General features: G+C 34.1%; 1 protein-coding gene across 15 annotated transcripts in view, besides 1 other annotated feature; it reads right to left on the bottom strand.

Annotated features, from left to right (window-relative positions):
* STXBP4 (syntaxin binding protein 4) overlaps positions 1–27179 on the bottom strand; it is a 244509-nt gene that overhangs the window by 167761 nt on the left and 49569 nt on the right. For 12 of the 15 annotated variants that reach the window (XR_007065289.1, XM_047435714.1, XM_017024410.2 and 9 more), the window contains 3 exons: positions 14249–14345; positions 11254–11345; positions 2188–2277 (listed from right to left, as the gene is read on the bottom strand). Coding sequence is in view for 14 of the 15 variants with exons in the window: in XM_047435714.1 (XP_047291670.1) it covers positions 2188–2277; positions 11254–11345; positions 14249–14345 (279 nt within the window). In the remaining variant the exon portion in view is untranslated. Of the gene's footprint in view, positions 1–730; positions 1902–2187; positions 2278–11253; positions 11346–14248; positions 14346–27179 lie in introns of those variants that run through there. The other 3 variants (XM_017024414.3, XM_006721797.5, NM_001398482.1) reach the window with 2 other exon arrangements.
* Positions 7372–7451: an enhancer, noted in NCBI's record as "active region_12412". NCBI's record gives its function as "activates an Ori minimal core promoter by ATAC-STARR-seq in GM12878 lymphoblastoid cells {active_cell/tissue: GM12878}" and the evidence as "EXISTENCE:reporter gene assay evidence [ECO:0000049][PMID:35858748]".

The following is a 27179-nucleotide window of genomic DNA, read 5'->3' as shown; positions in this document are numbered from 1 at the left end:
TCAAATATATCACTAAAGTTAACAATGATAAACTATAAGGAAATGAAAAAGATCTGAGAGCCTCTGAAAATTCTGATAAACCACAAGTCTAATGGTTTAGGTAGCGATAAAAGAATACATAAAAAGTTATCTTATTAAGGTAACCAACACTGGGGAAGTTTTCTAAGAGAATATAAGGAAATCATTGTCAATGTATTTTTAAAACTAAATTTTTATTTTCCATCAAAACAATTGTTGCACTAAAAAATGTGGAAAGATAGCGGTTTCAAAGGTAAGAAAAGAAATATATAAAATACTCTTATAGTAGTGAAATGCTCATATACTTTAGGAAGGAATGTGAATTGGCAAAACCTTTTCAAAGGGAATATGGTAACATATGCAAAATTTTAAGTGTCTATATCTTTTAATAAAGCAATTATATTTTCAGACATTCATTCTGTGTATATACTGTACAAATGCCCAAAGATACATCTACAAAGCTGCTGAAGATGAAATTATTTTTAAAAACTGGAAATAGTCTAATGTCCATCAATAGGGAACTGGCCAAATAACTATTTAATGTATAGGACAGTTATTGAAAAGAATTTGGTAGATCTGTGTATATTAACCTGAAAAGCTGCCTGAGATATAATTCTTATAAAGAGAGAGAGAGAGAAAAAAAAAGAAGGCAAGTTGTAAAAAAAAAAGTGTGGATGAAGTGACTTACATAGAAGTGAAAATACACACATACTGGAAAAAAATTTTTTAAGGCTTTATTATTTTTTGAAGCAGTTTTGGATTCATAGCAAAATTGAAGGGAAAGTACAGAAATTTCTCACATACTCCCTGTCCCCACATATACATATATTTATTTATTTTTGTTTTTATGTTTTAAATAGTAGAGATGGGGTCCTGCTATGTTGCCCAGGCTGATGTTAAACTCCTGAGCTCAAGTAATCCTCTTGCCTCAGCCTCCCAAAGTACTGCGATTAAAGGTGTCAGCCATCATGCCCTGCCTATTTTTAAAAAATATAATTTTCTGTGTAGAGAAAAATCTATGAAAAGATAAATAATATATTTGCAACAATGGCTTCCTCTAGAGGTTGAGATTATAAAAACTAAGGTAGCAAAACAAATTTTCTTTCCTTTTGGTGTAAATATTTTCTATTTAATAAAAATTAAATAATTATCAATATACTATACCTTATTTAATAAAATAATTTTAAAAATATGTGCCTATGACGAATTAGTGGTAAATCAAGTAGTTATGTTGCTTTTCCTAAAGATTTGGAAAATATAGCTTTCTATAAAAATTAGGATATAATTTAAATGTAATATTCTTCTAAAAACAGAATGAAACCACATAAAGAGAATCAAGGCCAGACATGGTGGCTCACACCTGTAATCCCAGCACTTTGAGAGGCTGAGGTAGGTGGGTCATTTGAGCCCAGGTGTTTGAGACCAGTCTGAACAAAATAGTGAGACACCATCTCTACAAAATAAAAATTTAAAAAAAAATTAGTTGAGCATGGTGGCATGGACATGTTGTCCCAGTTACTTGGGAGGTTGAGGTGGGAGAATCACTTGAACCCAGGAGGTTGAGGCTGCAGTGAGACGTGATTGCAGTATTGCACTCCAGCCTGGGCGACAGAGTGCGACCCTGTCTCAAAAACACAAAACAAAAACAAGAATCAAAAAACCAAACAAACAAAAAAAGAGAAGAAAAATGTTACAGTATATTTGGGATATGTGTGTTTTTTTCCTCTCTAAAATAATATTAATTCCAAATTACGTTAGCAAAACATGATGTCCCTTAAGAATAGCCCTGCACATGAAAAAAAATGTATTTCCCAAAGAACTCACAGGATCCAAAATTGCCACGACTTGCTTTATTGGCTCTTCATCTAATTCTGCCCTGGCCACTAATGAGAGAGAATAAAAAGGATAAGAAGAAACCTCAACAGAAGACATGAGCAAAAACCATTGTTCACACTAAATGTTGCACAGATATTGTGAAATATAAATATGTAGACCAAAAATTAATTCTCTAAAGGCCAACTGAATAAAGAATCTGATTTTTACTATTTGATATTAATATTTTTCCATTAAAAATAAAATTAAGCCCCAATGCTTCAGAATCCAATATAGGATTTTTTTCTTTTTCTTTTTTTTCTGAAGAAAACATAAGGAAACTAAATTAGAGGTTACCTTAAGTGTATTTACTTCTTTCAAGGCATCATCTCTTTCACACTTGAGCCTTTCCATTTCATCTGCTTCTGAAGAATCACAAGGAAGAAGCTATCAACATTAAAATATAAGAGAAAAGTTGTGCATTAGATGCTAATTATGAGAGGTAACATAAAAATCATTTTTGACTAATCTTAGGCTTCTGTATTCTAATAACAAAATTCAGTTTCTTATGTTGGAGTCATTTGATTAGATAAAGGGGATATTAAAGTATTAAAGCAATTTCATTCATTTTAACCTTACATTGTTGTCACTTATAATAGAATTTTGATTTTGTTGTCACCTTTATCATTATTTTAACAATATAATTTTCCTTAAAATTCCAAATTCGAAGACTGTGTTTATAATGTCAAAAAGACTTCAGGAATTACCAACATAAACTATTCCCTAAAGACATTCATTCTAATAGCATGGTATCTAAGGCTAACAAAATGCTGTACATTATAAATCAGATGGTTTACATGAGCCTAGTAAAGTATATTTATCGATTATGTATCTGGTTTTAACTAAATGAAATGTAATGCAACAGACAAGCAGCTTAAAAAGATTCCTGCACAGAAATTGTAGATTGAAGATAATATTAATAATTTATGCACAAGTGAATAACAATAACAAAAAATGCAGAGATGACCATATCTCGTACATCTAGCATGATGTCTCTGACCGTCAATTACAATGTAAAAACAATGATAGTCTAATCAGACATAAAAATCCAAGTTTAACTACAGCCATCTCCTATGTGGAAGCTATAACAACTAAAGAAAATATAATTTAAAGGACTAAGTGGAGAAAGTGGTTGTTATGTAAGCATGGGCTTAAAGCAGGGCCCTTTAGATAGGTAAGGCAAATGTGGAGTAGAAAAAAAATAATAAAAACAATTAATAATATCAACCACTTATTGGAAACTTATATGTGCAGATGCATTGCTAAAGACTGTATATATTCAATATCAATCACCTTGTCTCCATTTTACAGATGAAGAAACAAGCTCAGAAATGTTAATAACTTGCCTAAGGTTTCACAGCTAACAAATGGCCATTCCAAGAGTCCCACAAATCATAGTCTCTGATTTTTATTAAAGATTCAACAAAAAACGTGGTGGAATGGATATAATAAACTCATATTTGCTTTCCAAACTCCAGAATAACAGAAGTAGGAATTATTCTTCATATTTGGGGAGAACTTATTTCCCTGAAGATCACTGGTTCTTTTTGGTCTGTCACATTAGCTTTTGGGTATCTATGGACATTGCCCATAATTTACATGATCTACATTCTTTATGTCTCTGTTACTCTGCTCTCTCAGAAGTACTCAACACAAACACTCATAAGAATTCATTTCTGTATTGTTAATTTTGAACACATTTTAAAATGTAATAATATTTCCCAGAGTGTGTTCCAAAGGATATTAACAGGCTTTGTGTAAAAGCAAAATTGAGTGGTAGTGATGGTGGTAGTGGTATATGATTTAGAAAAAATTAACCTTATTTCCTGTATGGCTTCCAACAGCCTTAATATGCTAAAGAACATTTGAACTGCCAAAAAAAAAGTATAATAACTTGTGATGTTTCCTCAGTAATTTCACCATACTACAAACCCCCAACCTCCTTACCCTGCTGCCTTCATTTATTGATTTTTGAACTAGCTCATGGAACTAAAGTAAACAAAACACAATCTGGGAAACTCAATGTTGCTACTCAACATTCATATGGCCTACTCTATCTTCTCATCCTAAGAAGTGAAATAAGCAGGATTCAGAAGTTTAAATAAGGCCAGGTGCAGTGACCCAGGTCTGTAATGCCAGCACATTGGGAGGCCGAGGCTGGAGGATTGCTTGAGTCCAGGAGGTTGAGATCAGCCTGGGCAACATAATGAGACCATGTCTCTACAAAAAATAAACAAAATTAGCCAGACATGGCGGGGTACTCCTGTAGTTCCAGCTATTCAGGAAACTGAGATGGGTGGGGAGGTCAAGGCTGCAGTGAGCCGAGATTGCACCACTGCACTCCAGCCTGATGGCAGGGTGAGACCATGTCTCAAAAAAAAAAAAAAAAAAAAAGTTTAAATAAAATTTTAGATACCAGAGCTAAAATAATTTATTAAGAGAAACTAGGATTGGGATTTTAGGGATGTGACAATAAACTTTTGAACTTAACACCATGTAGGTAAAGCATGCGTAAAAGAATCTATGGTACTATTTTGAGAGGCAAAATAGTCACAGAACCATGACTTAAAAAAACGTTTTATAATCCCACTGCTATTTTGGATTGTGCAGCAAAAACTTGCAGCCAGAGAATTGGCTGTGGATGTTCCTTGTGAATTCTTTGAAAAGCCCCTTTGTGCTCAATGACTTTTTTGTATAGTTCCATTCAAATATACTTCAGCTAAGGAAGCGGCAAATGAATTGTTGTTATTTAACAGCAACAATTCCAGACAGATGCGTGTTTTCAAAATCTATCAGTAACTACTGAAATTTATATTCCTTAACCTTCCACATCTGTTTCCTGTCTGGTTCTCGCAATATCATTTGTGATCCTTGGATCTCCCGAACTTTGCAACAGCTGGTAAATAACATTGTAAATCATTTCTACTCTGCTTTCTAGAGTCTCCTTCTGGAGATGTCAAGAAATACATACTATAGGTCATTGGACTGTGCTGATTAGGTCTGACTTCACCTCTCCCTTCACTGTTGCTGCTCCAACATATTTTAAGTTACTTGACTTGTATCAATTCTGGATAACTACTATTCCATTGGCCATATTCCCTAATCTCAATTCATTTTAAACAGAAACAGTTACAAAACAGTTAACTTCAGTGTCAGTCTAATTTTATTGATAAGGCCTTCCATTAGAGACCTATTCAATTACCTTCTTTCCTTATAAAATTGTGTGTGACTTTACCATCCTATTCACCTAAAAATTTCTGGGTATCTTCTTTTCTCTTTCCATTTCCCTGCTCATTCCTTTCACTTCTTATTATCTGGCTTATACATCTTTCCTCTCACTCCCATATTTCTAAAATGATTACTTTCAATTTCACCAATAAAACTGCTACTTGACAAAGAAAATGGCCCCCACCAACTTTCTTCTTTGTTATATATAACATTGTTGAAGGCTTTTTTTCCTTGAAATTTTATCTTCTTTAGATTGTGATATTCTAATATCTCACCTACCCTTCTGCACATTTAGGCTATTCCCAATGAGTTACTTTCATGTCTACTCCTTAAATGGAGAAAGGGGGTTTGGGAGGTTCCCCAAAGTTTGTCCCTTTTCTCTTTTTTCCCTACAAGTTTGAGTGAGCACATTCACTATTATGCCTCAACTATCACTCTCCAAAATATTCCCAAATTCCTTCCCAGTGTCTAGTTCCTAATTTCCAGTGGCCTTTGGTTATTTGTACTTGCCAGCTTCTTAAATCTCTCTAAAACACAATCTGTCATGGTCTCTACTTTGAAAAAGGCTTTCTCCTTATTTCCCTATTTCTATAAATGCTACCTGTACCATCATATTCTTAGTTATCCTAGACAAAACTTTTGAGTTTTTTTTTTTATTCATTCTTCTTCCTTAGTTCTCATGTCCAAAGGGTCAGCAAGTCCTACTGATGACATACTTGTTGTAGTTGTTGTTTTTGGTAAGTAATCTAGATCTATAACTTCTTTCCTTTCTATTTTCCCCACCTTCACTATACTTTAGTTCTTTACTATCTTTATCTGGATTATTTCTATAGTCCTCTATCTAGACTACCTACCACCACTTTCACTCCCTTCCTAGATAACCAACACATATGATTCCTCTTTCTAAAATATCACTTTTGTCATTTAACTGTTTTCCTTAATGGCTCCTCACTGACTACTGAGTAAAGTACAGACTTCTAAACTTAACATTTACCCTTTGAGGCATAACTCTGTCATCTGAATGAACCCAATTATCTTTTTTTTTTTAAGTAGACTACTCTCTGTGTGCATTACGTTCTAATTTTTTTGTTTATGCTAATACTTTTATCACTCCCTACTCACCTCTTGAGCACATAAAATCCTATTTATCCCTCAAAATTTACTCAAATGCCAACTGTTATGAATCTTTTCTGAATGTTCTAAGCTTTATTACTCTTATGGCCTTGCCACACTATGTAGCTTTTCTTACTATAATTATTTGGGCACATGACTTTTCCTTAAAATATGTAGGCCAAGTTTTACCTATCTTAATAACATGTGCACATAACAAAACATGCACACTGCAGTTGTTCAATATATATTTCGTGTTTTCGTTAGGGAAGTGGCTATAAAGTATTTACTGCTATACGTGGTGAGAAATATGATACATACTATGATCCTGTATAAGTGAAACATTACTCAGTTTTATCATATACAGTTCCCTTTGGTATTTTCCATTTTGTTCTATTTCACTTGTTTAAAATGGTAGTCGCAGCCCACTAAATTGACTTAACAAGAGCCCAAACTGTGAAAAATCTATTTTAGGGAATTTAGTGTTCTCTCTATAATTTTAAGATAATCCATTAATGATACAGTACTTGATTAGTCTGGTAAAATCATACTATGATGGACTATATTCTGCTATTGCTAGGTTTAGAGTAGTGCTAAATGTGGGCTCCAGCCTTGCCCTTTCTGCATATAACCTTGTGCCAGCAGCAGGTGTAGCACTGTGTGAATTTTCTAATGTAGCAATGATGATTAGACTCACAGTAAGATAATTATATTTTTGGTTCTAAATGTCATATTCTTCCAAACCCAAAAGTTGTCAAACAAACAAAAGTAGGACTGACTTTATACTGACTCAGCAATTCCTACTTAAAAGATAGCATCTCAAGAGATCTTATGAGTCAGACAAAATAATGAGGAAAAGCAGCAAGTTACAAAAGAGTACATATTCTATAATTCTATTTATTATGAAATTCAATAAGGGGCAAAAATAATCTATGTTGTTATAAGTCAAAATACTGGTTCCAATGTAAAGGTGGGAGTGGCGGCTGACTGGGAAGGTGGCCTGAGGGAGCCTTTTGAGTGGTGATTCCATGTGAGACACATAATAAAAATTCATCAAATTGTACACTTTTTGTACTTTATTCTGTATATATTAGATTTCAGTAATAATATTTAAAAAAATAAATTAAGAAAGACAAGCCATCATTATCAGCCAAAAAAAGAAAACATGAATAAAAGACATACATGCCTAACAGAATGACCCAGGCCTGTTGTTTGTGAAACTGAGACGGTTGACAGGGTAACCATAGTGGAATTCCCCACCCTCACAGACAGTCAGCATCTGTAACTACAGACTGATTGGCATACTTCAGATGGGGGACTAAACTGCTTTTGAACTCAAAAAAGTAGGGAATTACACTGCAAAACAATCAGTTATTTTTTATTTGCTTTTGGTGAGCCACATGACTAAAATTGTGATTTTTATAATGTTTCTTCAGACTGTTACATCACCCATTAGCGAATCGTGAAACCAAAGTTTTAATGAAATACAAGTGAATATTAAATAAGAATGCAATGTACATAGAAAAGGTAACTAATGCTTTGACAGGCTTTTGTTTCAGTTATATACGTGAGTATGGTGTAAAATATGTTTTCTTATTCTGTACTCAAGTGAAAAAATATAATAAAAAATTAATATAATTCTATTGCACGACATTTTGATCTGAAGCCACAAATTGGAAATCATTGACATGTCAGAATTATTGACATGTCTGGAATTAGTGACTCTTGCACAATTGCCATTAGCGCTTTGCTTTTGCTGTCAAAGTCTCACAGGTTGAACATATTTTTTTTTTAATCCCAACAACTTCCAAACTATAAACACATTCTTATCTGCCCTAAAATTATATTGGTAAGGAGGAAATAAATTGCTAACCTGGAGCATGACCATCCATCTGCAGCTGCTAAAAAAGATTTGCTTGCTCATACAAAATACTCTGAATTGCCTATTTCATTGGCTTGTTGTAAACTACCCAACCATCTTTGCCTTCCTCATCAAAAATGAGCATGGCAGCTCTGAGAACTGTTTGGCAGTAAAAAACAATGCTCCCTGACATCAACATTAGGTAGATTAATACACAACACCTGAATCAGCAGAATGAAAACTGTGCGCCTTGAATACAGCTTTAGTTCTCTTTGAATAAATGCGACAAAATTAGTTCTGATAAATCAGTGCTTCATTCTGGGAGAACTGGGCACTCTCCTGAGGGTTACAGAACAACCAGATCTGTGGGTGATTGCAATGGGCAACATGCTTAGCAGTAAAAGAGATTGCTTACAAAAGAGAACAAAGTGATTTGAAACATTAAAAAAAGTGACATGCATCATTTTTTAAATGAGTGGTCAGACTTATTTGTTCAATAAATTAATTATATATTTATATACTCTGTGTTTCTGGAATTTGAAATCATGTAATTAATAATAAACACTATTCAAACTTCCTGTCAGTAAAGCATATCACTTGAAAACAGTAGAGCTCTAAATATAACCATGAAATAAAAGTGCAATTTTTGTTTTTAAACTTGAACTAAAAGAAAAAGTTATTAAAAATATGTAACATATCTATTCTCCTGCTTGAATTTAGGGTTTCTAGCAGCATTCAAAGAACCTGACTGACCATATCATTTATTTAAAAGTATATCTGAAAACAGAAACAAAAATAAAGAAATATATAAGTTAATAAGACTATTAGCAACTCAGAAAGGGTGTCATTAGAACAAAAAATGTTGAAGACTTTCTGGAAAATAAAAAGCAAATGGGTATAACAAGGTTGTAAGATATAAGGTAAATATAAAAATTAATTTTATGTAAAACCAAATAAATTTAAAATGAAACAAATTTTTAAAAGATACCATTAATTTTAATGGCAACAAAAAGCGTAAGGTGACTAGATTATTAAAATATAATTAATTAAAAATATATAAGATATATTGACATCAAAGAAGATATAAATACATGAGAAGCCATAACATGTTCACAGAAACTTAAATTTATAAAGACGTTGATTCTTCCCAAGATAATCTATAAATTCAACAGAGCAAAATTTTTCATGGAACTCATATGGACAAGATAAGACTGAAGATTAGCCAAAGCAATATTTTAAAAGAATGGCAGGAGGTCTGGGGGGCAGTTTGAAGTGATGTCAAAGGACATAACATTTCCATAAGACAGCAGAAAAAAGTTCAAGAGATATATTGTACAACATGGCGACTACAGTTAATAACGATGTATTGCATTTTGAAAATTGCTAAGAGAGCAGATTTTAAGTGTTCTCACTATAAAAAAAGATAAATTATTTGAGGTAAAGCATATGTTAATTAGCTCAATTGAGCCATTCCACAATGTATACACATTCTAAGTCATATTGTACACAATAAATATATAAAATTATTATTTGTCAATTAAAAGTAAATAAGATAAACACAAATAAGATACGAGAACATCTTATTAGATATCAAGACTTATGAAGCCAAGAAGCCACCAGAATAAAGAGTCCAGAAATTCCCAGGTAAATATGGTAATTTCATAAGGGACAGAGCTGGCATGAAAAGAATTCTTTCATCCCATTAAAATACAGATTTATATTTTTAATATGTTCATAAAAATGATTGATCAAAAGTTATGTCAGATTTCTAATTTTATTAATTATGTACCAATAATAAGTATAATTATAATTCAATATGGAAGAAAATTTTAATTTGTAAAGCCTTATAAACATAGGAAAATAAAACAAATCATTTTAATTCATTTAAAGTTTTTTTGCAGCAAAATGATAGGGTGATCATTTCGCAAGCATACAATTATGTGTTATCAGGATAAGATTCCAGGTCTATATGGAACAGAAATAAGAGCTAACAGAGAAAAAGAAAAGATAAAATTTTGAGCATAAAAGGATAATGCATGAATTTTCTTTGAAATAGATGGTTATGGGTATAAAATACTGTAGTATTTATATTCTACTGGTAACATTTAAAAGAATTGTATAATAACAGGTTTCTTTTAAAAATATATGTATTTATATATCCAATTATTTTAATCACTGGAAACCAAAAAAAAATCAACCAATGAAAAGTTGTTATAACTATATCATGAGACTAAGTCGATTTTAAGGTAAGAAACATTCAAATGGTAGATAGAAAAACAGATCTGTGTATCTAGATAGAAATTTAGTATATGATAAAGTTTGCATTTCAAATCAATGGCAAAAATGAAGATGGGTTTTTAAATAAATGATGGTGGAACAAAAACAGGTGGTTTGCCATGCATAATGAATGAATTTTTTAATTAAATATACAAATTATATAGAACATAAATTAAGAAGGAGGTCCTTAAGAGGATAAAACTACCAAAAATCCACAATGAAAAGGACTAAAATATTCAATAATATAAATGTCAAACTTCTATAGAACACATGATTGAAGCTAATAGACTTCACAATCCCATTTTACATAAAGCACAAAAAGAGGCAAAACCAATCTACATTGTTAGAAGGTGAAAGAGTAGTTACCCAATTTTTTGTGGGGGTACAGGGGTGTTACTAGCAATCAAAAAGGAACCTGGGGGCAGGAGAGCATCTGGTAATGTATTTATTTAATATTATGTTTCTTGATCTGGATGCTAATTAAATAAGGATGGTTTAGGCTATAAAATTTCATAGTATATATACATTATATAGGTGCTTTTCTATGTGTATATTATAGAGAGATAAAACAGATTAGAATGGACACATGCACACATGGTATCTGTCAGTTTGTCTAGCTAGCTAGTTATAGCACGTATCCTCCACATATCAAATTGTCAATACTGGTAAACTTAGGTGTGATAGTAGCACAAGAGGCTAGCGAGAGAGGAGAATGAATATCAGGATGAACTTTTACTTTTGATTTTAAATTGATTTGTATTTATATATTTATCCAAGAAACATGTATTATTTCTATTTTTAAGTGAAAAAAGCCTACACATATGACATATAACATTCAAGACTTGTGACTTATACATGTCAAAGCAATTCTATAGGGCATACTCTACCTGTGAATCTAATATATTGGAAATTTCATGTGCACCAACATTTACTTCATCCAACTGCAAGCAAAACAAGTTTCTGGCAACCTGGACAAAATCTAAAATGGAACACATTTAAGTAAGAACATGGCATTTAACCCCTTCTAAATCTTACTTTATTCTATATGAAGTTGCTAAGGTTTCAAATTTAACCCACATAAATTATCTTAAAATAGTATTGACTGAAGTGATAGGTAAATGTAATTTCAAATAAGAAGAGACAAATTGGTCTGAACTTACTTCAGTTAACTTTGCTAAAATTAATAATTCAGCTAAGATAATAATAAAGCAAATATATATCATGGACCTATAGTTTTTCAACCCTTGTATTATGAGTAGAACTTTTTCTGAAACATTTGACAATATTATGATTTATGGCTTTTCTAGCTGGAAGAACCTGAGGTTTGATAGCAATTATTAATAGCAGCAGATAATGTTTATGTAACCGCTGCTGTATGGCAGGCACAGTGCTTAGCAATTTCATCCTCCCAACAGTCTTCTGAGGTAGGTCCTCTTATCCTGTCCATTTTACAGATGAAAAAAATTGAGGCTGAGACAGGTTAAATGCCTTCAACTGTCCAAGGCCACGTGGCAAAGAGGAAAAAGAACAGTTCATAGGCTTCTTCTGACAAGGAGAGTAACTTACTCATCTATGTATCCTCAAATATTTTCCACTTTGGCTACTGTATTTTTAATTTCCAAGGATTCTTTTAAATATTCTCTGATTGTTCCTGTTTTACAATATCCTACTTTATTTCATGGTTGCATTACCTTCACTTTTCTCTTTAAAGATGTTATGAGAGTTTACCTGAATTTATTTATTTATTTTATTTTATTTATTTATTTATTTTTTGAGATGGAGTCTCACTCTGTCACCCAGGCTGGAGTGCAGTGGCACGATCTTGGCTCACTGCAACCTCCACTGCCCAGGTTCAAGCGATTCTCTTGCCTCAGCCTCCTGAGTAGCTGGGATTACAGGCGTGCACCACCATGCCCAGCTGATTTTTGTATTTTTAATAGAGACGGGGTTTCACCATATTGGCCAGGCTGGTCTTGAACTCCTCACCTCAGGTGACGCACCCACCTTGGCCTCCTAAAGTGCTGGGATTACAGGTGTGAGTCACTGCACCTGACCTCCTACCTGAAATTCTCTTCTGTGCTTCTTTATTTCTTTTTTTCTGAGTTCCTTTTTTCTGTTTGTCTGATAGTTTTGGGTTCTATATTTTATGTTGGAGGATTTCTCCAAATCTCTGGTGACTCTTGACTATGAGTTCATATTTAAGAATCGGGCACTAAAAAAGTTGGTTGGAAATTTTGTGTGTGTAACTTGCTTTGTCAACTGGCAGCTTTCACTACAGGGCAATCTGGTGGCCAGCTGACATTTCTGTTCAGCTTCTTCAGAGAGAATACCATAGTCTTCTGCCTATAGTAATAAACATGGCAGCAAAGTTCCCTGAGCAATCTGGGTGCATATTACGAGTGATGACTCACTATATACTCCACAAACTCCCTTGCAGCTGGCAACTATAGGTCCACGATCTCTGGTTTAATTTCTCAAAGGAATATACTTCTTTTCTCCTGGAGGTGTACGGTGGGAGATGCCGGACTACTTGAGAAAGAGCAGAGAAGAGCATGCATAATTCTCCTTATAAAGATTTCCAACAATCCTGTTTTAATATCCTGCCTAAAAACTCAGTCTCCAGAAGTACTTGATGTCTTCAATTCTTAAATCATTTTAGGGTCAAATCAACTTGTTCCTCATTGTGATTTTCCTCTATCTTCACACACTTGGGCTTTACCTGCCTCTGCTCACAAATTTACTTTCCTCACCCATTTTTCTGTCCTTAGATATTGTGATTTTACTTGTATGTGTTTTTCTGTTTCTTGTTTTCATTATTATTTTGGGATGATTTTCAAGTGGAGATGGGATGAAAAATATCTTTTTTTCATCACTTAAAAACCAAAAGGTCAATTTTTTTTCAGCAATACAGATGCTTTATAAATAATACAATGTTACATCTATTATACAAGAAAAAAATTACTTAATAGTGACAAGAAGACAAAAAGTGTTATATTCAAACATTACTGGTGGTGGAACGAATATATGTGCAAAATATCTCTGAAAAACAATTTACCAATATGTATCAAAAGTCCAAATCATTTGTGAGGATTTGGCTTAAGAAAGAAAAACAGCTACATTCATAATGTTGATAAATACAGATTTGTAATATCAGCTACTGAGAAACTATCAAAATTCACAATAGTAGAAAGGCTTAATATTATAGTACAATAACTAAGTGGTACATTATGGTATCTTTAATAAGAATAGAGTTGACCCCTGAACAACATAGGCTTGAACTACACAGGTTCACTTATACATCAAGTTTTTTCAACCAAATGCATAAAAAATACAGTATTTGCAGGTTGGAAAAGCCACATATGTGGAGGGTAAACTTTTACTATATGTGGGTTCTGCAAGGCTGTCTATGAGATTGAGTATGGCTGGATTTGGGTATATGCAGGGGTCCGGGAAACAATTCCCCTCCCATACCAAGGGATGACTCTAATTAGGTAGCATCATAAAAATATTTACTATATTATATTAGCTGAAAAAGGATTCGAATTAATCTCACAGTAGTGAAATTAGAACTTCCATATTTTGTACTGTTTCTTTTGTTATTACTAAAGCAATGTTTATGCAATAAATAAAAAATAAAAAGAATATGACAGAATGATGATATTTTAGAGCTGAAAGGTCCTAATGAAATTCTTCTTTCTGCTGACCCTGCCAGGTCAGTAATTCTAGCTGAGTTCTTTGGGTACTGATTAAGGACCTTGAAATGGATGTAGTTTTACTTTTCATTCTCTCCTTCTAAAGAACAAACACTCTTAATGAAAATGTGTCACCATAACTCTTGAATGATGATTCAGTGATAATACAACACAATAAACCTAATATTACCTCCAAAAGACACTGTCCCTTTTGAGTCTGCTTGTACTTGCTGTCTCAGGGCTTGGTGTTGTTCCTTTGTGGGCTGAATACCAAGATAATTTAGAGCCTGGAAGATAAAGGACTCATGAAAAGCAATTTTTCAAATCTCCAAAGAATAAAACTTTTCATTACAAACTTTACAACCCAGGGAAAATAATCAATACCAGAAACAGTCGACCAGGATTAAACACCCAAGGGAAGTCAGCTCTTTATGGATTAAGTGCCTATTGAAGATTAGCTTCCTGATTTTACTACTACCTCATTTTTTCCCCAAGACTAGCACTTTAGCTAATACCAAATTTATGACATTGTCCTAGAACCAAAAATCAAACTATTTCTTAGTTTATATGATTTGGCACATGTAAAATGGCAAAAGAATCCTACTACATCAGATTTACAAGTGACACTCTAAAACATGAATTATATTTGGTTAACATCTTGCCTTTGAGAGCAGAACTGAAGTTGATAGGAATTAGGTTCAACATAAAATCTTCTAATTTTTGGCTTGTTAGGGGCAGGCTTACACAAATAGTAAACTAAAAAGCTTTCTCTGCCACTTACTTCTCTCTTTCATCAGGCTCTTCCCCTTAAGGGAAAAGTTCTTTCTCGTTTTGGTATCCATTAGTGATTAAAAATTCAGAGACTGTTAATTGTATTCCAATGTCCATTCTCTCCTTGCTCCTTAGTAACCGAACCAACCACAATTTTCGGCTGAAAACACTGCCATGCAGCTAAAAGACATTTCCCAGCCCCTTGTACATCTCCATGCGGCCATGTAACTAACTAGGTACTAGCCAATGAGATACAAGGGGAAGTGCCATAGAGTACTATTAGGAAGTCTCCTTTCAAAAGTCGGGGTAAGCACTTCTTGTCCATGCGGATTAGTAAGGGGAAAGAAAGAGGAAGAAAAAAGATGAAAGGAAGGAAGGAAAGAAAGAGGAACTGATGGAATTTGAGCAGTTCTTTTGGTTCATGTGGTACCGCAGTAAAGATGGTGGAACAGAAAGATAATTGGAACATGGTCCCTGATACTCTGAAACCTCCACGGCAGCCCTGGATTACCTTCTTTCAGGCTTCTTTTTGGTGTGAAAGAAATTTCTAAAGGAAACTACTGTTATTTTGAGTTCGCCAGTTATATATAGCAAAATCTAATCTTAACTAACACAAAGGGACTAATTGGATGTCCTATTATTGGATATGGCAAGAGCATATATAGTGTCGATCACATCAAAACTAAAATGTAGGCAAAGTTTAGTATTGGTAATTATCTCTTACATATTTCTTCCTCCTTTAGAATCTCGTTCAATCATTTAGTAATTCATTCATCAAATAATTTATTTGGTGCCTACTATTTGTCAGCCACTAAACTATGCATAGGTGATAGATAAATGAAATATAGTCTCTCACCCCAAAGAGTTTACGGTCTCAAGGGTGAGAACAACTGTAAAGAAATAAGTAAAACACATAATTTAATAGAAGTATGTATAGGGTATATTAATACACAAAGCAACTGGTTAATCTGTAAGTGAGCAATTTGGGAACAATGAAAGAAGAATGGAGAAAGAATATCAGGAAAGATTCTTTCAAAAATGATTCTTAAGCTTAGTCTAGCATCATCTGCTTATCTCGTATAGTAGTCAAGTATTTGCATTGTATAACATGGCATAATGATTTTTAGCTTCTGTATTTTTTTCTCTTCAGTTATAAAAATGTTTCAAATATAAACACAAAAAATAATAATACAAAGAACACCTATATACTCACTATCATCAATTACTCATTGATATGTACTTAAAATTTATGTATATATTTTCAATAAATAAAACTATATATTCGGTTAAAAGTTTTTATAAATTATTCCTCAGCAGGAACTACTATCCTAAGTATTCTTCCTGGTCTTAATTTAATGACATTTACTACATAAGCAAGTATCCCCTAATAATATGTACTCTTATTTTGTGCATTTAAGCTTTTACCTCAAAAGCATAATCTTAAAGAGTAACTCTACAAATTATTTTTATTTTTACCTCAATTTTATGATTTCATAATTGCTCAATATTGTCTGCAAAACTAGTTCACTTATTTTAACTGTGAACAGTAATCCGTTGTATGAATTTATTGTAATTTATTATCCATTCCCTGATTAACAGGCTTTTATAACTACTCCAATCTGCTTTTTTTTTTAAATTACAGAACATTATACATGTCTCTTTGTAAAAATGTGTGAAAATTTCTCTACATTATATCCCTAGAAAAGGAAGTGCTAAGCCATAGGGGACATATGGTCAATTTTATTAGATATTGTTGAATTGTTCTCCAAACTGGCTTCATTAATTTATGCACACCAGTAGTGAATAAGCATTTCTATTTTTCTACATTCTTTTTTTTCCTTTTTGAGATTTAACAGCATCTGCTGTTTCCACTCTTATTTTGTCAATGTTGTATTTGAAATAGTATGCTGTTTGTTAATTTGAATTCCCCTAATTACAAGTGCAATTAAACATCATTTACATGTTTATTAGCAATGTTTTTGACTCACAAATTATTTAAAATATGTTTTAAATTTTCATACATGAGGTTTTAAGAAGTATCTTTACTGATTTTGAATTTGGTCTCTATCTTCCAGCTGTGACAACCAAAAATGTCTCCAGACACTGCCAAATGTCCCAAGAAGAAAAACTGCAGCCCTGCCCTTGAGAACCACTGCTCTGAAGACAATTGCCATATTAACAATTGGTGTCTAATTTTTCAGGTTTTTTTCTATGAATATAGTACCTATAAATTTATATAAATTGTGGATTTTTTGCAAAAATTGTCACACTATAGTGTTAATAATTATCAATATATTACTCCTTTCTATTCTGTACATTTTACAAATATTGCATGCTTTTTAAAATTGTTATGTTTGTACACTGTCTGAAGTGAACTTTTTTTAAAGCATTCTCCTTCTGATAATCATTTAGATTATACACAATTTTTCACTATGGAACACAATGCTACAAAGTGCTAGTGCTCTTTGCTTTATGCCAATGACTTCAGCAGCTGTAAGAATTATCTGGATTTTTTAAAAAATTATAAAATATTAATACAGAAGTTATAGGACATACTATAATAAAGTAATAGATATCTACTATCTTGCTTCATTAAAGCTTAGCAGTCAACTATATTTACTTCAGTTTTTGAATGTAACCAAAACATATAAAAACCCCTTTTGAACTTATTCCCAGAGGTAAGACTTATCATATATTTGATTTACTATTCCCATGAATTTTTTATTATATAATATTTGGTATATACTAAAAGCATATATGTAAAAAAACATGAGTTTTAAAGTAGGACAATAAAACACCTATGAATCCACTTAAGCAGCATAAAACTGTGAATACTGTTGGATTCATATCACAATATGGATATGGTATTTCACCAGAGGTAACCATACTAATGAATTCTGAACTATTGATTTCTTCTTTATCATTCTTGATCTGTTTATTTTAAAATGGTTTTATCACATACATATGTATTCCTAACATGTTACTTTGTTTTACTGGTTTTTTAGCTTCATAAAAATGCTACAGATAGTTTTCTAAAACTTGCTTTTTTCACTCTACAGTAAGGCTTACTACATATTTCAAATCAGAAAGTGTGAGTTCAACTTTTTTCTTTTTTTATTTCAATAGCTTTTGGGATACAAGTAGTTTTTGATTACATAGATGAATTGTATTAATGGTGAAGTCTGAGATTTTAGTTTACCTGTTTACCCGAGTAGTGTTCACTGTACTCAATATGTAGTTTTTTATCCCTTGCCCCACACACCATCCCCCTTCTGAGTCTCCAAAGTCCATTATTTCACTTCCTTTGTGCTTGCCTTATGATACTCAAGGGACGTACTCTAGTATCTTGGGCGATAGGAAGGGCCATAGGGTTCCCACAAGTTTCTGTCCCTTGTGTTAAGCTACCAGAGTGGGTGGAGGGGCAAAGTCAGGGGGAGCTAGGTCAGGCAAGTCCGTGCTCTGACTCCACCTGAAGGACAAGCAGTGGCCCCTGTGGGGTTTGGAGAGTGGTTCTCTGGCCACGGGCAGTACTGTTCTAGGTAGAAGCATAGGTGCCTCTGCTGCACAGAAGAGTTCACACAGGGAGTAGGGAGTAGCAGGTGGCAGTAAGCCTCATCTAGCTCCCATGCACTTGGCAATGCAGGTCTCTCACTTGCGGTATTGGCTAGCAGCAGCTAGCTAAATTTCAGCTAGCTAAAATCAAAACTGCCCCAGGTCATAAGACTTTCACATAGAGATGGGAACCCTAGGCTTTCAGGCCACACCCTTTCCAGTCTACTTGCAAAGCCAGGGTGCCCAAGCTCCTCTGCCTGAGGCCGCAGCATACTTCCCATTTGCCCCCTGGTTCTCGACAAGAGAGTTCATCTGCATTTGAGATTATATTGTGAATTTCAGTTGGGAGCTTCTCTCAACCTGCAACCACTGCCTGGGTTAGTTGGCCAACTTCCACAAAGTCCCCTGTAATATAGAATCAGTAATAGCTTCCTTCGGTCCATAGACTGCAAATGCATGCTATGCTCTTCCCACTGCCCCCTATATGAGTTCCAGTGCTGGGTAGGGTTAATGCCTTCCCCTGTGAGCTACACTGCCAGGTTCCCCAGTTGGGGTGTGTATCTCTACCCATCTTACACTCTTGGGACTTAGTTTTTTGGCTGGCTCATAGTGTAGGCTGCAGCCTCCTGCTTCTTTCAAAGGGTTTCGGGGTTTTATTCCATTTTCCTGTTAAGTTCCTATGTTGCTTCTTGGGAAAAGGTTCACAGTGTGAATATCTATACACTATTTTGTCTTTCCAAGGAGGACAGGCATGCTAATACCGCTCTAATCTACCATCTTGGGGGGAAAAAAAAACTTTTTTCTTTTTCATGACTGTTTCAGCTATTTTGGGTCTTTTGCATTTCCATACAAATGGATCCTTCTTTTAGGGTCACCTTATCCATTTCTGAAAAATAGCCAACTGATATTTTGATAAAGATTGCATTAAATCTGTATACCGACGTGGGGAGTATTGCTATCTTAATAATTAAGCTCATAGATTCATCAGCACAACACGTCTTTCCATTTATTTAGGTCTTCTTCAATTTCTTTCAATGATGGTTTGTAGTTTTAAGTATATATGTCTTGCACTTCTTTTTTTAAATTTATTCCTAAATATTTTATTCTTTTAGATGCTATTGTAAAAGATTGTCCACTGTGCATTGTTAGTGTATAGAAATACAATTGCTTCTTATATATGATCTTGTATACTGTAAACTTGCTGAACTCATTTTTAGGTCTAATAATATTGTGGTGGATTCCTTAGGATTTCTTATATACAAGATCACATCATCTGGGAATAGAGATAGTTTTAATTCTTCCTGCAATCTGGATGCCTTTTATTTCTTTTTCTTGTCTAATTATCCTGGCTAGAACCTCCAACGCAACATAAAATAGAAGTGGTAAAGCAGACATCCTTGTCTTATTCCTGATGTTAGGAAGGAACCATCCAATTTTCTCCCATTAAGCATGATGTTAGCAGTAGGCTTACATAAATGTTCTTTTTGAGGTTTAGGAGATTCCTTTCTATTGTTAGTTTATTGGGTATTTTTTATCATGCAAGGGTGTTAGGTTTTCTCAGATATTTTTCTTGTGTCTATTGAGACCATCACGTAAAAGAATTAAAAAATCAAGTATCTGCTTTTAATAAAAAAAGACTATTATGTGGTTTTGTCCTTTATTTTATTAACATGGTATTATATTGATTTTCTTATATTAAACCAATTTTGCATTCCTGAAATAAATAGATGGGCCGGAACTATTTGTACAAAGTTTTTTTGATTACTAATTCAATGTTTTTACTTGTTATAGTCTGTTTAGTTTTTCTATGTCTTCTTGAGTTAGTCTTGGTAGTTTGCATCTTTCTAGGAATTTCTCCATTTAATCTAGTTTACCTAATTGATGGCATATAATTATTCATAGTATTCTCCTATAATTTTGTTTTATTTCATAAGGACAACAGTAATATCTATAACTTACTTTTTTTTAAATTAAATTAAATTTTTTTTTTTGAGACGGAGTCTCGCTCTGTCACCCAGGCTGGAGTACAGTGGTGAGATCTCGGCTCACTGCAAGCTCCGCCTCCTGGGTTCATGCCATTCTCCTGCCTCAGCCTCCTGAGTAGCTGGGACTACAGGCACCCGCCACCATGCCCGGCTAATTTTTTGTATTTTTTTTTAGTAGAGATGGGGTTTCACTGTGTTAGCCAGGATGGTTTCGATCTCCTGACCTCGTGATCCACCTGCCTCGGCCTCCCAAAGTGCTGGGATTACAGGTGTGAGCCACCGTGCCCGGCCATCTATAACTTACTAAAACATGACATTGTGAAATTTGGGCTGATGCAGGAGGCTCTTGTTCCTTCATTTTCCTTACCATATAGTATTCCTCATATAATGATGATAATAATCATGCTACCATGGATTTATCAGTTCTTTTATTGATGAACATTTAGGCTGTCTCCTATCATTTATTCTTTGAAATAATGCTGATATATTCTTGTATCTATTGGTCAGGATGGTCTAGTTACACCATTGTTTCTCTAACCCCAAAGTCTTAGTAACCTAGAAATGACAAAGGTTCATTTTCTCCTTGCTAATGTTACATATCCAATGTGAGTCAGCTGGTTTCTCTTTCTCTGTATTTTTCACTTAGGAACCCCAGCTGTCAAAGCCTCCACCATCAGAAGTTTTGCTGCCTGCTATAGCAGAGAGGAAAGAAATATGATGAATTGCACGCTGGCTCTTTATTAAAGAACATGGGAAAGTACAATTCTATCACCGGCTGACAAGGAAGAGAACCTGATATAGCTGAAAAGCTCTGACTACTACTGCATTGTACATATCTCCTTATGTGGTGGCACTAGAATTTCTCTAGTGTATATGTCCAGAAGTAGAATTGTGAGGTTAAACGATGTGAGCAGGTTCAGTTTTGCCAAATTGTTCTCTAAAGTTACAATCCCGTGAGTATCACATGAGAGTTCCCAGCTATTTCTCTATATCTTTGTGAAGAATTACTCCATGTTTGTCCACTTAATGAGTAGGCAATTGTACCTCACTGCTGCTTTATTTTCATTTTCGCAGAGGGCATCTTTTCATATATTTAACTGCCATCAGTTTTTTTACTTTTGTAAATAGTCCATTCATTTGTACCAATCATCTTTCTTTGGGGTTATCTGTATTTTCCTTGGGTTGGAGCATTTCTCTAGTGTTTTCTTTTTTTTTTTTTTTTTTTTTTTTGGAAAAGGGCCACCAGCCCTTGCAGAATCTTGTGTTTCTCTAAGTAAAGATACCAGTTCTAGAATTCCAACTGAAAACGGCTTGAGGCCATGTTAAAACTGAGCCCCAATATCTAAGTCTGAGTCATTCCTTGAGCCATATGATGTCAGTACTCACACAAGTGCTCACACACTTCTGTTGTGAGATTTCCATCCCTCCTCTCCTCTCACCCATTCTTCTTTTTTTTCTTCCTTCCTAGCTTGACTATAAATTTTAAAAACTTCTTTATTTTATTCATTGTTTCTATATACAGGTTTAGCATCTCTAATCCAAAAATCCGAAATCGAAAATGCTCCCAAATCCAAAACTTTTTGAGTGCCAAAACAACACCACAAATTGTCCACACGGGTGGCTGAGTCCACACCTTTGCTTTCTGATGGTGCAGTGTATAATGAACTTTGTTTTATAGATAAAACTATTTTAAAACATTATATAAAATTACTTTCAGGCTATGTTTCTCAGGCGTAAATTTTCCTGTTTAGACTTAGGTCCCATTCCCATGATATCTCATTACATATACATGCAAATATTCCAAAATCTGAAAATATCAAAAGTTTCAAACACTTCTGGTTCCCACCATTTTGGATAAGGGAGACTCAACCCTATATTCATGGCAGGAGTGGCTTCTGGATTTCCTGGATTATACAATGTTGCCAGAATTAGAAGTTCTGTTCCTAACTGTTCAAGGATTACATAGATACTTTTGAAAGTCCATTAAGAACTACGGACCCGCTCCCAGAATATAGCCATGTATGCAAATTTTAATCTAGAATTTCTGGGGCTCATAAACTCCAAGTTAAACATTTATGGCTGTAAGTTATGCCATTTAGTTGTTACTAGGCAAAAATCATTTTCCAGATATACATTTGAAATTTTCCACAATGAAGAGTCAAAAAATGTACACTCACCAACATATATACACACACATTGGTCACTTTCCTATTAAAAATGGCTCAATGGCTTTTTACTGAACTCAGAATAAAATCCAGAGACCTCACCTTGGCCTATAAAGAAATAATCTGATTATCTCCCTGACTTACGTCGTTAGTACCACTCCTTCCCTTGATCACATGATGCCAGGAACACATTTCTTTTTTCTTAAAATAGTCCAGGCTCCATCCTGTCTTAGTACTTTTGCATTAATTGTTCCCTTATATCTCAGAAGTTTTTCCCTAGCACCATAATTCTCACGCTTCATGTCTCAGTTTAAATTTCACCTTCTCAGACAGCTCTTCCGTGACTATCAATCTGAAATAATCTACCATGTCTTATTGTCTGACATGTACTCTTGTTATTCACTTGTTTTTTGAATTTTCTACTTCCCCCACTACAATGAATTATAAATACCAGGAAACAACTTTTTGTCTTGTATACCACCAATTTTACAGTGCCAAAACACTAAAATGCCTCAACCAGAGGAAGTAAACAATAAATATTTGTTGAGTAAAAATAAATAACTTTGTAATCTTTGGTAATCTAAGATGGCTGAATTGGATTCACTTACAACCTCTTCTGACAACCTCCTTCATTGCCATGAGAATGAAGGAAAGGAGTAGGGTAGAATAAAAAAAAAAAATAACAGAAAGTATATATGCCTTGATACTGCATATTTTATGTTTTCATGATTAGAGAAATTCAAATAATCTAGAAAGAAGTGAATAACATCTAAAAGTTCACTAGCAAGCAACAACCACTATTAATATTTTGGTATATAAAGCTTTCAGGATTTTATTGATGAACAAAACTATTTTAAAAAGGCACTCCTACAGAAGGGACAGAACTGAAAAAAAAAAAAGGCATTCCATGTCAATGAACACAGCTCTTAAATATATCATGTGTTATTAAATCAAGCTCCTATTGATTGCCATGAATTTTTCACTAATATAAACAATGCCACTGTGAACAGCCTTCCACATACATCTTTGTGCCCCTGTCCAATTATTTACTTAGGAAAATTTCTTAAATGAGGAATTATTGCCTGAAAATCATAGGCAAAATTCAAATTTTGATACATATTGTGAAACTATTCTTGAGTCATTTTCGTTTGATAAATTTTTAAGAAATCCTCATTTTTTTCTAAAAAATAACATAGTAACATTTTATAATTTATGTGAAAGTTAAAATGTAACTATTTCTGATAGTACAGAAAAGATCCTGGAGGAATCCTGCCAGTAAAGTTTTTAAAAACTACTAGATAATAATAAACAATAACATCCACAAACACCTTAAATGCTTGGGTCGGCTTAGGAGAGGGAGTGATACCAAAATTTATGAAGAAACAACAATACGCAGAGGTAAGTGAGCATAAAGACAATGGGTGCTAATTCCTTTTATAAAAAAATTATGATTATGATTATTTTTAGAGATAGGATCTCACTCTTGCTGGAGTACAGTGGCATGATCATGGCTCACTGCAGCCTGGAACTCCTGGGCTCAAGGGATCCTCCTCCCTCAGCCTCCCAAGAAGCTGGGACTACAGGTGTCCACCACCACAACTGGCTAATTTTTAAAAAAATTTTTGAGATATGGGATCTCATTTTGCTGCCCAGGCTGGTCTCAAACTCCTGGCTTCAAGCGATCTGCTTGCCTTGGCCTCCCAAAGTGCTGAATTTACAGGCATAAGCCACCATGCCCACCCCAAGAATCTGCTAATTCTTGATGGCTTAAAACCTGCAAGCAAGAGGAAAGCACCTAGGGCCTAATGCAGGGAGGAGGATTAAATCACCCAAACAATGCTGGAACCTCATAGTGAACACTTTCAGTAAAATGGTAAACTAAGAAGAAAGTCCTACAGACATTACAGAATATGTCTTCCTTAGGTCTGGGTGGAAGAAAAAATATTTTTCCTCAGAGTGTATAACTATAGCGATAAGTACAATAGTTTTATAGCCGGAAAAATCACAACTTGGGAATTTAGTTCCAGTAGTTCCTGATGTCTAAGAAACATACATATGTAAATCTTTTCCAGAGGTTTCATATATTAGCTTCAAAATTCGCAAAGATAAAATTCCATTTTTCATGAAAGTATAATTTTATTTTTAAATTTAATTTTTATTTTCTGAGATGGAGTTTCACTCTTGTTGCCCAAGCTGGAGTGCAATGGCATGATCTCAGCTCACTGCAACTCTGCCTCCTGGGTTCAAGAGATTCTCCTGCCTCAGCCTCCCAAGTAGCTGGGATTACAGGTGCATGCCACCATGCCTGGCTAATTTTTGTATTTTTAGTAGAGACAGTGCTTCACCATGTTGGCCAGCCTAGTCTCGAACTCCTTTCCTCAAGTGATCCGCCTGCCTTGGCCTCCCAAAGTGCTGAGATTACAGGTGTGAGCCATCACGCCCGGCCGAAAGTATAATTAAAAAAAATTTACAACATATGAGGGAATATGACATCATAAGCAAAAGTAAAATACAAACAAACAAACAAACAAACAGATTTGACAGCCAAAGACTGCAGCTACTGTATAGTTAGACATAGAACATGTTTAACATATTTAAGTTAAAAAGGTGAATCAAGAATAAAAGTTAGGAAAAATATATTATAACAATACTAGGTAGACAATAACAAATTAGAAACTCAATGAATATGTGAAATAGCAGATGGTTGAAGAGAGTGAAGCAGAGAAATAATGTGTAGAAGAAAGAGTTGAAAATGCAGCACAGATAGATAAGAAGATGCAAAATATGAAGGAGAGGCCTGAAAGACATAGAAGATGAGCGAGTCTGTCTAATAAATATGTAATTGAACGGGTAACAGATAATAAAGAGAATTAAAGAGAGGCAATATTCAAAGTGATGCTAGCTGAGAATTTTGTAGAACCTAAAAAAGATATAAATCTTCAGATTTACGAAGCCTGAAAAATCCTAAATAGGCTAACATAAGAGAAATCAACACCTGGATACACCAAGGTGAAAATACAGAACACCAATAACAGGTAATATTTTCAAAAGCAGTCATAGTGAAAAGACAGATCATTACAAAATAAAGACAGAGCGACAGCTGAGTTCTCAAAACAGCAACAACAGAAACCAGAAAAAATGAGAATAAGAGCTACAAAAATCTTAGAGACGATAACTGTGACCCTAGAATTATATGCCCAATAAAATTCTCTTTCAAAAATGAGGGCAAAATATTTTCAGAAAAATAAAAAAAATGAGAGTTTTCTATCAACCTATACCAAAAGAACATTTAAAGGGGTTACTTAGAGAAAAGGGAAAATGACCACCCAAAACGTCAGAAATGCAAAACAGAACAATGAATAAAGAATATGGTAAACACAGGTAATTCTAAATTATCATTGGCTACAAGATTATAATAATAATTCATAATTTATAAAGCTAAACAAATATATTAATAATTCATAATTTGTAAGACTAAACAAAGATACGCCAAAACTAAAATATTGGACAATTACAGGTATACAAATTGAGAAGCAGGGGATCAGAATTAATGTATTGTAGAGCTTTGTATATACAAAGGAATTCTGATTAACCTTAGACTTTTAAGTTAAATGTGCATGTTAAAATCTTAAGGAAATCACTAAAAGAATAGCAAGAGAAGACATAATTTTCAAACAAGTTGGAGGTAAAAAGTAAAATGCAAAAGCAATTAATTAAATAATCAAACATAATCAAACCAAAAGAATACAATAAAAAGGCGGAATAAAATAAGTGATAAAAAAAGGAGAACAAAAATAAAAAATAAGATGGTAGAAATACTTCAAACTATATTATAATGTAGAATAAATGTAAAGTATATGAAGCAAGAAGAACTCTTACATAAGACTAGTAGGAATGACAATTGAGAAAACTACTTCAGAAAACAATTAACTAATCCAACAATTATTTTTTTCAGCATATACTATGAGCCAAGTATTTTTGTAGGAGCTGAAAACACAGAAGCAAAAATTTTAGCAACACCTTGTCAGGGCTCTGAGCCTAAGCTAAGCCATCATATCCCCAGTGACCTGCACGTATACATCCAGATGGCCTGAAGCAACTGAAGATCCACAAAAGTGAAAATAGCTTAACTGATGACATTCCACCATTGTGATTTGTTTCTGCCCCACCCTAACTGATCAATGTTCTTTATAATCTCCCCCACCCTTAAGAAGTTTCTTTGTAATTCTCCCCATCCTTGAGAATGTATTTTGTGAGATCCACCCCCTGCCCCCAAAACATTGCTCTTAACTCCACCGCCTATCCCAAAACCTGTAAGAACCAATGATAATCCCACCACCCTTTGCTGACTCCTTTTTTGGACTCAGCCTGTTTGCACCCAGGTGAAATAAACAGCCTTGTTGCTTAAACAAAGCCTCTTTGGTGGTCTCTTCACACGGATGCATGAAACACACCTCATGTAAATTGAAAATAAACAAACTCGGACTACCCTCTTTGGGTCCCCTCCCTTTCTATGGGAGCTCTGTTTTCACTCTATTAAATCTTGCAACTGTACTCTTCTGGTCTGTGTTTGTTATGGCTGGAGCTGAGTTTTCGCTCGCTGTCCACCACTGCTGTTTGCTGCCATCGCAGACCCGCTGCTGACTTC

This window comes from Homo sapiens, chromosome 17 (assembly GCF_000001405.40).
Source record: "Homo sapiens chromosome 17, GRCh38.p14 Primary Assembly".
In the NCBI taxonomy this organism is placed as follows: Eukaryota; Metazoa; Chordata; class Mammalia; order Primates; family Hominidae; genus Homo; species Homo sapiens.
The sequence above is the reverse complement of the archived record's forward strand: the minus strand, read 5'-3'. Positions and strand labels throughout refer to the sequence as shown.